Genomic DNA, 16,120 nt, shown 5'->3' with positions numbered 1-16,120 from the left:
TGAACAGAGTTTTACCCACGTATTTATTGACAGCAAGCCAGTGATAAGCATTGTTTCTATAGATTATAGATTAAAAGTATTACTTAACGGGAAACAAAGGGATGGGACGAAACAAGGGATGGGCTCTGGCTAGTTATCTGAAGAAGGAGCAAGTCCTTAAGGCACAGATCACTCATGCTATTGTTTGTGGTTTAGGAAGGCCTTTAAGCGGTTTTCTGCCCTGGGTGGGCCAGGTGTTCCTTGCCCTCATTCTGGTAAACCCACAATCTTCCAGCGTGGGTGTCATGGCCATCACGAGCATGTCAAGTGCTGCAGAGATTTTGTTTATGGCCAGTTTTGGGGCCAGTTTATGACCAGATTTGGGGGTTTGTTCCCAACAGATGGGTCTTGAATCTCCAATTTGCCATTCTGTGTCTTTTAATTGGGGCATTTAGCCTGTTTACATTTAAGGTTAATATTGTTATGTGTGGATTTTATCCTGTCATTATGATGCTAGCTGGTTATTTTGCCTGTTAGTTGATGCAGTTTCTTCATAGTGTTGATGTTCTTTACAATTTGGTATGTTTTTGCAGTGGCTGGTAACAGTTTTTCCTTTCCATATTTAGTGCTTCCTTCAGGAGCTCTTGTAAGGCAGGCCTGGTGGTGACACAATCTCTCAGCATTTGCTTGTCTGTAATGGATTTTATTTCTCCTTCACTTATGAAGCTTAGTTTGCCTGGATATGAAATTTTGGGTTGAATAATCTTTTCTTTAAGAGTGTTGAATATTGGCCCCCACTCTCTTCTGGCTTGTAGGGTTTCTGCAGAGAGATCTTCTGTTAGTCTGATGGGCTCGCCTTTGTGGGTAACCTGATCTGGCTGCCCTTAACATTTTTTCCTTCGTTTCAACCTTCGGTGAGTCTGACAATTATGTGTCTTGGGGTTGCTCTTCTTGAGGAGTATCTTTGTGGTGCTCTTTGTATTTCCTGAATTTGAATGTTGGCCTGTCTTGCTAGGTTGGGGAAGTTCTCCTGGATAATATCCCTGTAGAGTGTTTTCCAACTTGATTCCATTCTCCTCGTCACTTTTAGATACACCAATCAAATGTAGGTTTGGTCTTTTCACATAGTCCCATATTTCTTGGAGGCTTTGTTTGTTCCTTTTCATTCTTTTTTCTCTAATCTTGTCTTCATGCTTTATTTCATTAAGTTGATCTTCAATCTCTGATATCCTTTCTTTGCTTGATTGATTTGGCTATTGATACTTGTGTATGCTTCTTGAAGTTCTCATGCTGTGGTTTTTAGCTCCATCAGGTCATTTATGTTTTTTTCTAAACTGGTTATTCTAGTTAGCAATTCGTCTAACCCTTTTTCAAGGTTCTTAGCTTCCTTGCATCTGATTACAACATGCTCCTTAGTTCAGAGGTGTTTGTTATTACCCACCTTCTGAAGCTTACTTCTGTCAGTTTATCAAACTCATTCTCTGTCCAGTTTTGTTCCCTTGCTGGTGAGGAGTTGTAATCCTTTGAAGGAGAAGAAGTGTTCTGGTTTTTGGAATTTTCAGCCTTTTTGCACTGGTTTTCCTCAACTTCATCAATTTATCTACCTTTGGTCTTTGATGTTGGTGACCTTTGGAGATGTTGGTGACCTTTGGATGGGGTTTTTGTGTGAACATCCTTTTTGTTGATGTCGATGCTACTCCTTTCTGTTTGTTAGTTTTCCTTCTAACAGGCCCTTCTGCTGCAGGTCTGCTGGAGTTTGCAGGAGGTCCACTCGAGACCTTCTTTGCCTAGGTATCACCAGTGGAGGCTGCAGTACAGCAAAGATTGCTGCCTGTTCCTTCCTCTGGAAGCTTCATCACAGAGGGCACCTGCCAGATGCCAGCCGGAGCTCTCCTGTATGAGGTGTCTGTCGACGCCTGCTGGGAAGTGTCTTTCAGTCAGGAGGCATGGGGGTCAGGGACCCACTTGAGGAGGTGGTCTGTTCCTTAGCAGAGCTTGAGCTCTGTGCTGGGAGATCCACTGCTGTCTTTAGAGCTGGCAGGCAGGAGCGGTTAAGCCTGCTGAAGCTGCACCCGCAGCTGCCCCTTCCCCCAGGTGCTCTGTCCCAGGGAGATGGGAATTTTATCTATAATTCCCTGCCTGGGGCTGCTGCCTTTCTTTCAGAGATACCCTTCCCAGAGAAGAGGAATCTAGATAGGCACTCTGGCTATAGCGGCTTTGCAGAGCTGAGGTGGGCTCCACCCAGTTCAAACTTCCAGGCAGCTTTATTTACACTGTGAGGGGAAAACTGCCTACTAAAGCCTCAGTAATGGCAGATGCCCCTCCCCCCACCAAGCTTGAGCATCCCAGGTCGACCTCAGACAGCTGTGCTGGCAGCGAGAATTTCAAGCCAGTGGATCTTAGCTTGCTGGGCTCTGTAGGGGTGGGATCTGCTGAGCTAGACTACTTGGCTCCCTGGTTTCAGCCCCCTTTCCAGGGGAGTGAATGGTTCTGTCTCGCTGGTGTTCCAGGCACCAATGGGGTGTGAAAAATAAACTCCTGCAGCTCACTCGGTGTCTGCCCAAATGGCCGCCAAGTTTTGGGCTTGAAACTCAGGGCCCTGGTGGTGTAGGTACCTGAGGGAATCTCCTGGTCTGCAGGTTGCGAAGACTGTCGGAAAAGGGTAGTGTCTGGGCTGCATTCCTCATGGCACAGTCCCTCATGTCTTCCCTTGGCTTGGGGAGGGAGTTCTCTGACCCCTTGTGCTTCCCGGGTGAGGCGACACCCACCCTGCTTCAGCTCGCCCACTGTAGGCTGCATTCACTGCCTAACCAGTCCCAATGAGATGAACCAGGTACCTCAGTTGGAAATGCAGAAATCACCTGCCTTCTGCGTTGATCTCGCTGGGAACTGCAGACCGGAGCTATTCCTATTCAGCCATCTCGCCAGCCACTTACAGTCTGTTTTGTTTGTTAATTGTGTCACCACTATTGCATTCTTGTGATTGCAGTATGCATGGTATATCTTTTAACATTCTATTACTTTCAACCTATTTGTACCTTTGAATTTAAAGTGCATCTCATGTAGACAATATATAGTGTAGTTGGATATAACTTTTTAAATCTAGTCTGACCATCTGCTTTTTGATTGGCTTGTTTAATCCATTAACATTTAATGTTATTATTGATATACTTGGATATACTTTGCTATTTTACTTTTTGTTTCCATATTCTTCATGTGTGTTCTTCTATTCTGCATTAATTCTGTTGAATTAAATGAATATTTTCTAATGTAGTATTTTCATTTCTTTAATTACTTTTTGCTGTTTATTTCCAGTTCTTTATTAATTTCTCTAGAGCTTGCTACATACATATTAACCTATCAGAATCAGTTTTAGATTTATACTAATTTAATTCCAGCAAGCTATAGAAATGTTACTCTTATGTACTTCTGTTTGTCTGTATTTTATGGTATCAATATTACACATATTACATCTTTAAATGTTACAAACTAAACAATACCTTGTTATTATTTTACGTAATTTTGTATCTTTCAAATAAGCTGAGAGTAGAAAGGAGAGGAAGTATATATTTATAGGTTTTGTCATATACAGCCTTCTTATTTATCATTTGTGGTTCTCTTCATTTGTTCCCTGGATTCAAGTTACCATCTGAATTTTGTTTTAGACCAATACAGCTTCTCTCACCCACCTCTTTTGTGTTATTACTGGCAAATATATATTTATGTGTTATAGGCCCAATTTATATGTTATATATAAATTCTTCTGTGAAATTGCTTTTAAATCAGTAAAAGGGAAAAGAGTAGAAGAAATGCATAGTTGTACTGTCTTTTTGATTACATAACTACCTTAATTGGTGCACTTTGTTTTTTTTGCATGTAGATTCAGATTACTGGCTGGCATCACATTTTTAAATTCTGAATCACTTCTTTTAGAATTTATTATAAGCTAGGTATGTGGCAAATATTGCTAATTATTTCTCCTGCCAGTTTAAATCTACTCTTGAACCCTCTTAGTATTTTTACTTTTCAGCTCTTGCATTTCCATTTTATTCTTTTTTATAATATCAGTCTTTATATTCTCTATTTGATGTGATTTTATAACCATATCTTCTTCAATTTTGGTTTCCTTTAATTCTTTTAACATATTTATAATGAATTATTTGAAGTGTTTATTTTTTAAATCCCACATCTGGTCACTGTCACAGCTGTTGCTTCCCTTTTTCCAGTATATGTCCCGTTTCCTTACGTGTTTTACAAATTTTTGTCAGAAACTTCACATTTTAGATAATCTAGTTATGTGTTTCTTAATGATGGGGATATATTCTGAGAAATGTGTCATTAGACAATTTTATTTTGTGAACGTCATAGAGTTTACTTATACAAACCTAGATGGTATAGCTTACTGCACACGTAGGCTACGTGGTATGGCCTTTTCCTCCTAGGCTACAAACCTACAGAGCATGATACTGTATTGAATACTGTATGTAGTTGTAATACTGTGGTATTTGTGTATCTAAACATATCTAAATATAATAAAGGTAGACTAAAAATAAGGTATTATCATCTATGGGACCAACATTGTATATGCCGTTTGTTGTTGACCAAAACATAATTATGCAGCACATGACTGTATATTGTAGCAACTCTGGGGTGAAGTTGCTAGGTGAAGCCTCTGATGTATGTCCTTGGAAGATGCAGCTTGGGTGTACCCACAGCAGTTTTGGCAGGGCTATCTCTGACTGTCTCTTTTCCTAAACATACTCACTCAGATGATTGATCTATTGCTTTCAACAGTGCCCTAGGAAATAAATTGCTCTACTGATCCAGTTAAATTTGGGTTTCTTGAACTATTAGTTCTTTAGATCAGTGTTTGAGATATGTTCTGATCCCAGTATTGCTTCTCCTAGGTGACTCTGTGTTGCTGTCTGGCCAACTTGTAGTTTAGCTTATAACGCCAGTGAATCTATGAATCTGTTCTCAGTTGAGCTTGTCTACACTTACACGCAAGTGAAACCAGTTCCTTTGAGATTCAGAGCTTTCTGTTCTGCAGCCTGGTTCTCTTCCCTGGATAAATTCTCTGAGCGATAGCACTGAAGCTGAGGCTGGGGACAGTGGTGTGCTGCTTTCTGAGTGACACCCTGCTTTAGGAGCTGAGCATTTGATGTAGGGGTAGCAGGAGTCGTAGGTATCATCAGCTTATAGTCCTGATGTGGAACCCTTACACCATGAATTGGGGTAAGGGTGATGGAGGACTCAGTATTCTCAGTGTTCCTCTACCTGATTTAGAGCCTCTGTCTCAGGAGGTAGGACTAGGTGGAAGAAGGTAGCCATCACCTCTCAGCCAGATTCACCTGCAACTTAATAACTTCAGCAACACGGAGCTGGGGCTAGGATGAGAAATGCTGACATCCTTCCTTTCCTGGGAGATAGTCTATTAACTGAAAGCTGGGTGGGGAAAGAACCCTGTGTTAGGCTGTAGAAATCTGGAATGGAGTGTCTCTCTCCTTGAGCTGAGGGGAGGGAGGAAGGGAGCAGGTCTTGATTCATATGCTTTGTTCAAATACTGTTTGATATGGTTTGGCTGTCTTCCCACCTAAATCTCATGTTTAATTGTACTCCCCAATTTTGGGGGAAGGACCTGTTGGGAGGTGATTAGATCATGGGGGCGGATTTCCTCCTTGTGCTTGTGATAGTGAGTTCTCATGAGATCTGGTTGTCTGAAAGTGTGTAGCACTTCTTTCTTCACACTCTGTCTCTCCTGCTCCATCATGGTAAGACCTGCTTGCTTCCCCTTCACCTTCAATCATGATTGTGAGTTTCCTGAGGCTTTCCAGCCATGCTTCTGTACAGCCTGCAGAACTGTGAGTTAGCTAAACCTCTTTTCTTAATAAATTACCCAGTCTTAAGTAGTTCTTTATAGCAGTGTGAGAACGGACTATTACACTGTTCTTACTGACATGCGATAGACTTCTTTGAATAAATGTTTCTTTATTTTTTCTATGCCCTTAGGACAATTTCCAAAGACTGTTTAATGGTTGTTTTTAAAAAAGAATTTATAGCAGCTTTGTTGGAGTTTGCAGAGCTCCTCCAGCTGTCTAGTCAGAAGTCTGTCTCCCACAGTTATTTTTTAGTAGTAGTGATTACTTTATTCAGTTTATTTCTTCTTGCACACATTATAGTATTCATATTATGAGTAAAAATTTAATTTCTCCTAGAAATAGTTTTAATCCAACTCTCCAAATTCATTGACATGAAGATATTTATAGTGTTTTGTGTAGTTATTTGTTTTTTCTTTATATATTAAATTTTACAATTTTTTCTGTTAATTAGTACATTTTTTGATGTTTTCTTTATGTATCATGGATTTTACTGTCCTTCTACCTAAATTATAATTATTTTTTGTATTTCTCAGGGATTCCTTCTTTGATTTTTCTTGTTCTCTTTCCCTAACTTCCTTTCTTGTGTTAACCTTGTTCTTTATGTAGACTCTTGAGTTGTACAGTTAGCTCACTTATTTTCTTTCTATTTTTTGGGTAAACCTAGTTAAGACTATAAATTTACTTTTTATTACTATAATTGCATCCCACAATTACTGATATGTTTATCATCATTTCTAAATATTTAGTCATATTTACTATGATTTCTTTTATAGTCATTTGTTATTTAGTACTATTTTATTTGTTTAAAAATGTTTGAGGGATTTTTGTTGTTGATTTTTATTTTGATATGTGTGTCAGAGAATGTGGTTTACATATTACAATGTTGAAGTTTTGTGTTTTGTTGACTTCTTTCAAAGCCTCCTTCTGACAATTTTTTATTTCTGGAATGCTAATTAAACATATTTATTGGCCAGGCGTGGTGGCTTATGCCTGTAATCCCAGCACTTTGGGAGGCGAAGGAGAGTGGATCACAAGGTCAGGAGTTCAAGTCCAGCCTGGCCAATATGATGAAACCCTGTCTCTACTAAAAAGAAAAAAGTAGCCAGCTCAGTGGCAGGCGCCTGTAGTCCCAGCTACTCGGGAGGCTTAGGCAGGAGAATTGCTTGAACCCGGGAGGTGGAGGTTGCAATGAGCCGAGATCACGCCACTGCACTCCATCCTGGGCAACAGGGCAAGACTCTGTCTCAAAACAAACAAAGAAACATATTTATTAGGATTTCTTAACTTATCATTCAAAACCTTTAGCTTGTCTTTCATATACCAGAATCTTTAAATGTGGTGTATTTTAGGCACTCTCATGCAATTTACCAAATGTTTCTTCAGGTGTGTTATGTCTGCCATTTGGCTTATCTATTTCACTTAAGTTATTTATTTTTTAACTTTGGTGATTTTTCTTTTTATTTCAATGACGATATTTTCATTCTCCAATATATTAGATCTTGCATTTTTATAATCCCCACTTGTTTTTGGTCATATCCACCTGTTTTTGTTTTATAATTTCCTGTTCTTAATTTATTCCTCTCTTTAACATTTTGAGGGTTTACATTTTTACATTTTCTTAAATTTTAATAATGTACATATACTTCTTTGTATCCTTACCACCAACAAAATAGGTTTTATTGCTCTTTTAATCTATATAGTGGGTGTAAAAAACTGTATCACTTATAATTTGCATTTTTCTTAATACTGTTATCTTTGAGCATCTATTTATGTATGTTTATTTTCCCATATAAGATTTTCAGTTTATATATTTTGCCTGTTTTCCTGTTTTTGTGCACTTGTCAATTTCTAACAGTACTTTGACTATAGATCAGTGGTTCTCAAATTATGGTCTGTGAAACTCTGGGAGTCCCTGAGACACTTTCAAGGGATCAGTAAAGTGAAAACTAATTTATTATTATACTAAGACATTATTTGCTATTTCTACTGTGTTGATATTTGCACTTATGGTGGGTGAATTACTGTCACCTATTTAGTAGAAAGCAAGGCAGTGGCCTTGAACTGTGCTGGCAATTGAATAACTTCTTAGTTGAGACACTGCTGAAAACAAAAGCCAGGTTAACAAGGGAGAAAGTGGCAGAAGTTTATGCGTGTGCTGTACCTATCATGCTGGAGAGGCCTCAAATCAAAAGTATCTCCGATTGGTGGCTTAGGGGCCTTGCTTACATAATATTTTAACAAAGAGCCACAAATCCAATTTAGTGACAAAACATAGGAGAGAGCAGTTCCAGTCTTCTAAAAGATTAGAAAATGTGGGATGATAGTAAAATCTGTTCCCAGATTCCTTTGGTGCCTGCTGGTGCTTTCTCTGGACAGATTAGCAAGTGTTGTCTCCAGTAAGGAAGGATTGGTGTCCTGCCATCGGGCAAATAGAGGCTAAGGCAGAATGGTCCCCTCCATTTTCAGCGTCTTTAACCTTACAATCCTCAATATTTGGGGAAGAAATATTTTGTTTTTCTTCAGTCCCCCTTTTACAGCTTTAGTTTTAGAAAGTTTTACATATTAAATTCCAAGTTGGTAGCTTTGGGGAGATTTGGATTAGAGGTTCTAACCTGGCAAAGGGTGAGAAACAGATTGAAACAAGTAGAAAGGAACAAATTTGGATTCCATATCTTATTGAATGAATCTCTTAGTCCTGAGAATAATAAGCTTAGTTGAACAGGTGAGCCTGATTTCAGGAGATGGTGTTAGAGGTGAGTTTTTTTTTTCAAATTTGGTTTCTATATGGTATAGGCACACTGGTATTTAGTTGGAATCATTTTTATGGAAAACACAGAAAAACAAAAGTTAACATCTGGAGCAGTCTGCAAACTAGTCTTTGAGTTTGGAGGGCAGTCAGCTGAGAATATTTTAGATTTTGACTCAAAACATTTCAGTTGGGATGGGCAGGGAGTGGCAATTTGATAGATTTTCCCAGATTGTAGTTTGAATCAGGTGTTCCACTGAACTTTCTGTACATACATAAGTTGTTGTAGTGATTTCTCCAAAGTTTGTATCAGGTTGTCTAGCATTAACTTGCAGGGGGCTTTAGGAAAAGCAGTTTTGATGTCTAGGGATTTCAAGTCAGATGAGTGAGTGGGAGAAATATTGGAAATTTTAGTCTGCAGAGTCATAGTCAGATATTGGAAGAAACTAAAAATTCAAGACTCAGCCTAGATAATTAAAAAAAAAAAACCCTCAAAAACAAATGGACAAAGCTAGAATCTAATAACAGGCACACTATAGTTTTTAAATTTTTCTTGAAACATAATTTTTCTCTCTCTGGTCACCTATTTCTACCAAAGATCACAGTGAGTCCAGTTTTGTTGTTAAGGAAGTTTTAGCCTCATTATAGTTGGCTTGATTAGTTATATAAACTGTAGCAAGGCCGGGCACAGTGGCTTACACCTGTAATCCCAGCACTTTGGGAGGCCGAGGCAAGTGGATCACCTGAGGTCAGGAGTTCGAGACCAGACTAGCCAACATAGTGAAACCCCATCTCTACTAAAAATACAAAAATTAGCCGGGTATGGTGGTGCACACCTGTAATCCCAGCTACTTGGGAGGCTGAGGCGGGAGAATCACTTGAACTTGGGAGGCAGAGGCTGCAGTGAGCAGAGATTGTGCTGCTGCACTCCAGCCTGGGCAACAGAGCTAAACTCCATCTCTAAATAAATAAATAAATAAATAAATAAATAAACTGTAGAAAGAATAATTATTGACGTTATTATAGACTCTTTTAAAGTTGGCTTTGCTGGAACTTGTCATAAGGAAAAGACTTTTAAAATCCTCTCCAGTTTAGGAAGTCAAGCTATGGACTCACCCTCAGATTTTACCTGTAGTACTTGAGTGAATTCTTTTCTTGAAGTCCCCAAAATATTTAGAGTATGCTATGCCTCTCAGAAACTGATATTTTTTTACTTACCACAAGGCTAGTAACCCTGTAAAGAACCATGTAGACAGGGTACTTGGGCAGTTTTTCCAAGGGATTAATTGGATCCTAGTTAACCTTTAGTTCCTTAAAGCAGCCTGGTCATACCTGAAAATGTGACATCGCAATCAAAGCCTTTGTAATATGTGTTTTCAACTGTGTCTTATTATGAAAGGAAACAGATTCTTATTAATGTTATGCAAATAACTATATTGCCATAAATTAAAAATATTTATGGTTAGTTTCTCAATTCAGAAGAAATCAGAGAGAAAGGCAAATGTTTTGATTTTGCTTTCAAAAATATGCTTTACCCAACTCCTGCAAACTATAAGTAGCTAAAAAAAAAGCTTTCTTGACTCTGGAAAAAAAAAAGTAATCAGCAATGTTTTCAACAAAAAGTGATAAAAATAATTTTAGTCCTACATCAGTTCAGTCCCACATAATTCTTTTTCTGCTTCATGTTAGATTAGCAATTTTATGAGTCCAGTTTTTAAAATTGGAGTTACTCAAATTCTTACCCAGTCTAATTGTATTATCTCAGTGATGTCAGAAATCTGTACTTAAGTGTATTTAAAGTCTATTCCATGAATCATCTTGAAGATACTTTAGGATTTGCGAGAGATTTTGAAGAAAAAACAAAAGCAACAGAATAAACAGTAACACATCCAGAATGTTTATTAGGGACCAGTTCTGTAGGCACTTTTGCCTACCAACTACAACAATCTCAGACTCCCAGAAGGCAAAAAGATGTTCAGTGCATCGGTTAAGAAGACAGTTTTATCATGAAGAAAAAGATTCCTGACTGTGTAGGGAGGTGTTTACCAGCCAAGGGCTAATCCTGCAAGCAGCCTCCCACCTGCAACGTTAACTCTTTTAGGCACATAAGCTGATCCTGAATTGTTGCTGGTTTGTGTGTACTTCTGCTGGACACTCAGAAGAGTATACTTTTGATACAGTGTTTCAGAGAATTTGGGGGATATTTTGACTTAAATTCAGACTTAATTCTATTTCAGGTAATACCTTGATATGAGTCAGATTTCTGGAGAGAAAAAGTTTTCTTTCCCTGTCCCCAGTCATACTGTGACTCAACTATAGTTCCAGCTCTGACCCCTCAGGTTCAGTTATTCTATGTGATATTTGTATATATTACATATCTTTGATATTATAAATCATGATATATGTAATATATACATGATAAATGTGTACCTACGCTGATGGATGAATCAGTACAAAAAGCATGTTAGAATTCCTGTTCAGAAATGAAACCTATAGAGGTTTCCTCAGCAATTAGAAGCTGTCTGGTCTCTACTCCAAATACAAAGATGGACAGTAGCTAAGTATGTGTACTTAATTTTAGCTTAAATGTGTAGGTAAGAAAGTAAACAATGGCTGGGTGCACTTCAGTGTGTGCAGGAAGCTTTTCCTGAGCGTAATCCAGGAACAGGCAGGGAAGTCTCCCTTGTTTGACAGAAGTAGCAACAGAGCGCCCTGTTTTGGAAGATGAACTTTTCTGACTTTTGGTATTGTAGTGAATTTCTTTTCATTTTTATTTTTCTTGTGTCATTTCAGTGAGAATTTGGGATGGGCAAAATATATATATATATGTGTGTGTGTGTGTGTTCTCAGTTCCAGATGTTGTACTCAACTCAATAAAACTAATTGTGTATTTATTAGAAACATATATTTTTGAATATTGTTCATAATTATATGACTTTAATTTCTTCCAAGATAAATATTTAAACTTAGAGAAGTGTTGTACCTGAGTTTGAGCAGCATAGTGTTGAGGTAAATAAAAGAGGCTCTGGGACCAGGCTCGGTAAGTTAGAATCTTAGTTTTGATAGCATAGGCATTGGACATGTGACATAATCCCTGCCGCCCTCAATTTCTTTATGATGGATAGAAAATCTTAATGATGTTGAGAGATTCAAATGAGTCACTATTTGTAAAGTGTCTATCATAGTATTTGGTACTTAGTAACTGCAAGATAAGTGTTGGAGAACTAAAAATAAATATAATTATATCTAAAAACATGTACCAAGAATTCATACCAAATAATGATATTTCTTAAATAGTTGCAATATGTTTGAATTATTTAAATAACCATTTTTGTGTCTTTCTCTTGTTAATTTTTTACAGCTTATCGTGAGCCTCATTATTATTATCAGTTCACAGCTCGATATCATGCAGCTCCCTGCAATAGCATTTATAATATTTCTTTTGAGAAGAAACTTCTTCAGATTTTAAGCAAACTGCTTCTTGACCTTTCATGTGAAATTTCCTTACTTAAGTCTGAATGCCATCGCGTTAAAATGCAAAGAGCTGGTTTGCAAAATGAATTGTTCTTTGCATTTTCAGGTAAGTCTATACAATTTGTTAGAAAAGCAAATGGAGAACACATAACTAATAGTTAAAAAAGTTGTTAATTACTCACAGCATTTTTATGATATAAACATAAACACCATACATCCAAATATATTTTGTTCTCTACTTTGACTTAGTGCTGTTAACCCCTCAAATAGAATTCTGCTGATTCGTGTACTAATGAAAAGTTTGTTCTCTCAATAACTTACACTGCTATGATAATTTACTGTAGAGTGGAATTTAGTATAAGGAATGTCATGATATTTAGATATAATGATTTAATTTGTAAAATCATCTAATTATAAGACGGGTTAATATCATAGACCAGAGGAACCGTCCAGCTTAGTATGCTTTTCTTAATAATGTGGAGTAGAGGCCCAGTGTTTTCTGGAAAACAAAGAATTGGACTTTATATTTATATCTTTATATTTATCTTTATATTTATAATGGTTTATGAATGACCACTTAGGAATACCCACGCATGTGTTTTTAAGGGGTCCGAGTGACAGTAGGGCACCCTTCCCCTTTCATCTCAAATGTTATTGCTTGCTAGTTTCCTTTCTCCTTTTTTAGGGTTTTTTTTTAAATTATTATTTCTCTGCTATCAGAGTTTGATTGTATTTAATCATTTCCCTGACTTTCCCTTCTCTTTCTTTTTTGGCCATCTAGGATTGAAGTTTTAGAAGCACAATTGAGAGGCATGAAGCTTTAAGGGAAAAAAACAAGTTCAGCCTCATTTTCTGTCTTTTATCTTCCTTACTTTTCACCTGGGGTCCCTTCTCTTCTCCTCTCTTTCCTTCTCCTCTGCCCTCCCCTCCCCTTGCTATTCCCCTTCCCTTCCCTGTCCTTCCCTCTCTCTCCTCTTCACCAGAAATACATTGAGAGTTTTTCCCCAGCCCCTGGGTCTGTTTAATAGGTAGATCAGTCCTTAGAAAACCTGAAAGTTTGGCTCTCTTCAGGTTCAGCACTTTGTGAGGCTGAGGCAGGTGGATGACTTGAGGTCAGGAGTTTGGGACCAGCCTGGCCAACATGGCGAAACCTGCCTCTACTAAAAATACAAAAATTAGCCGGGCCTGGTGGCATGGGCCTATAATCCCAGCTACTTGGGAGGCTGAGGCAGGAGAATCACTTGAACCCGGGAAGCTGAGGTTTCAGTGAGCCGAGATCGTGCCACTGCACTTCAGCCTGGCTGACAGAGTGAGAATCTGTTAAAAGAACAACAACAACAACAACAACAACAGCAACAACAACAACAACAAAAAACAAAAGCTGAAAGTATACTAGACTCATTAAAGAGATTATTTCCAATAGAAATAAAGCATTATGGGCTTGATTTGCATTTCTCCAAAGGCAAATGTTGTTGAGCATCTTTTCCTGTGCTCATTGGTTATCTGTGTATCTTCTTTGGAGAAATGTTTATTCAAGTCCTTTGCTCAATTTAAAATTTGGTTGTGTGTCTTTTTGGTGTTGTTGTAAGAGTTCTTTATATATTCCAAATACTGTATTCTTGTTAATATGCGATATGCAAATATTTCTTCCATTTTATAGGTTGTTTCCTCACTTTCTTAATAATATCCTCTGATGCCCAGTTGATTTTAATTTTGATGATGTCCAATTTACCTATTTTTTCCTTGTGTTTCTTGTACTTTCAGTGGCATTTCTAAGAATATGTTGCCAAATCTGAGGTCATCAAGATTTACTCCTTCTGTAGTTTTAGCTATTACACTTACGTCTAAGATTCATTTTGAGCTAATTGTATATATAGTATGAGGTATGGGTTCAACCTTATACTTCATATTTTGCATGTGGCTGTCTGGTTGTCCAAGAACATTTGTTGAAGAGACCATTCTTTTCCACACTGAATGGTCTTGGCATCCTTGTTGAAAGTCAGTTAACCGTAAATATATGGGCTTATCTCTGAACTCTCAATTCTATTTCATTGTTCTGTATTTCTGTTCTTCTGTCAGTACACCATTTTGATTACTGTTTGATTTGTGGCACTTTTGAAATTGAGAAGTGAGAGTGCCTCCAATTTTGTTCTTCCTTTTCAACATTGTTTTGGTAATTTGAGATTGTAATTCCATATGATTTTTAGCATCTCTTCCGTTTCTGACAAAAATTACCATTGGGGTTTTGATAGGGATTTCATTGGATCTGGACATAGCTTTGGATATTATTGCCACCTTAACAATATTAAGTCTTTTAATCTGTGAACACAGGATAGCTTTGCATTTATTTAGAACTTGTGTAATTTCTTTCAGCAGCATTTTACAGTTTTCAGTGTATAACTATAGTCCTGTAACTCTTGACAAATGTATTTCTAAGTATTTTATTATTTCTGATGCTATTATAAGTAGAATTTTCTTAATTCCCTTTATACATTGGTCATTGCTAGTGTATAGAAATACACTGGGTTTTTTTTTTTTTAAAATGGATTGTGCACCTTTGGTTGAATTCCTTTATTAGCTCTAATAGTGTTTTTTTTGTGTGTGTGAAATCTTTAGTAGTTTTTATATAGAAGATCATGTTGTCTGTGGATAGCAATAGTTTTACTTCACACTTTCCACCCTGGATACATTTTACACCTTTTTCTTGCAAAATTGCTCTTGCTTGGGCTTCCAGCACAATGTTTAGTAGAAGTGGCACAATTGGCATCTTAGTCTTGTTCTTGATCTTAGGAGGAAAGCTTTCAGTCTTTCACTGTTGAGTATGATACTTGCTGTGGGTTTATAATGAAAGGACTTTGTATTTTGTTAAGTACTACTTTTATATGAAATGAGATTATCATGTGTTTTTTTTTTAATTTTCACCCTGCCTTCTATTAATGCATTGTACTCTATTTTGATTGTTATATGTTCAACAATCTTTGCATTCCTGGATTATACCCCACTTGGTCATGGTGTATTCTTTACCATACTGCTGGAATTGGTTTGCTATTTTTTAATTAAGAATTTTGCATTCATAATGGATATTGGCCTGTAATCATATAATTTTCTGGCATTGGTGTCAGGGTAATGCTAGCTTCATGATATGAGTTTGGAAGTGTTACCTCCTCTTCTATTCTTTTGGAAGAAAGTGAGATGAATTTTATTTAATTCTTCTTTAACTGATAGAATTAATCACTGAGGCCTTTGGGTTCTGGTTTTTTCTTTGTTGGCAGGTTTTTGATTAGTGATTCAAACTCCTTACTTAGTTATAGACCTATTCATATTTTCTGTTTATTCTTGAGTCAGTTTTGGTAGTTTGTGTGTTTCTAGCGATTTATTTCATTTAGGTTACTTAATTTATTGGCCTACAATGGTTTATATTGTTCTCTTGTTATCCTTTTTATTTCTGAAAGGTAGGTAGTAATGTCTCTACTTTGATTTCTCTATGTGAATGTTTGTCAATTTTATTGCATTTTTTCCAAAAACCAGTTTTGTTTTCTTTATTGCTTTTTCTATTCTGTATTTTATATCTTTTCTACTCTTTATTATTTCCTTCTTTTTGCTACCTCTGGTTTTAATTCATTCTTCTTTTTCTAGTTTCTTAAGGTGTGACGTTAAGTAATTGATTTGAAATCTTTCTTCTTGTTAAGTATAGGTGTTTACACCCATACATTTCCTTCTGAATACTGCTTTAACTGCAACCCATACTTTTTGGTAGGTTGTATTTTCATTTTCATTCATCTACAAGTATTTTCTAATTTCCCTTATAATTTTTTTGACCTGTTTGTTGTTTAGGAGTATGTTGTTCAATTTCCACATATTTGTATACATTCTAGATGTCCTTCTGTTAAGACTTTCTGATTTCTTTCTTTTGTGGTCATAGAAGTCTAGTCCAAATGACCACCAGGATGGCTAAATAGTAGAAAGAAGAGATTTATTGGTGACATCAACTTGCAATTTGGGAAGATATGGTCTCTGGTGTGGACTGAAGGCACTCTCTCTT

The 16,120-nt window shown here is 37.1% G+C and overlaps 1 protein-coding gene across 11 annotated transcripts in view; it reads left to right on the top strand.

Annotated features, from left to right (window-relative positions):
* The window catches only part of ZPBP (zona pellucida binding protein), a 252,593-nt gene that overhangs the window by 49,971 nt on the left and 186,502 nt on the right, over positions 1 to 16,120 (top strand). For all 11 annotated transcript variants that reach the window (XR_001744543.2, XM_011515097.2, XM_011515100.3 and 8 more), the window contains one exon: positions 11,966 to 12,184. Coding sequence is in view for 10 of the 11 variants with exons in the window: in XM_011515097.2 (XP_011513399.1) it covers positions 11,966 to 12,184 (219 nt within the window). In the remaining variant the exon portion in view is untranslated. The remainder of the gene's footprint in view (positions 1 to 11,965; positions 12,185 to 16,120) is intronic.

Source organism: Homo sapiens, chromosome 7 (assembly GCF_000001405.40).
Source record: "Homo sapiens chromosome 7, GRCh38.p14 Primary Assembly".
In the NCBI taxonomy this organism is placed as follows: Eukaryota; Metazoa; Chordata; class Mammalia; order Primates; family Hominidae; genus Homo; species Homo sapiens.
This window is presented reverse-complemented; position numbering and strand designations above follow the sequence as displayed.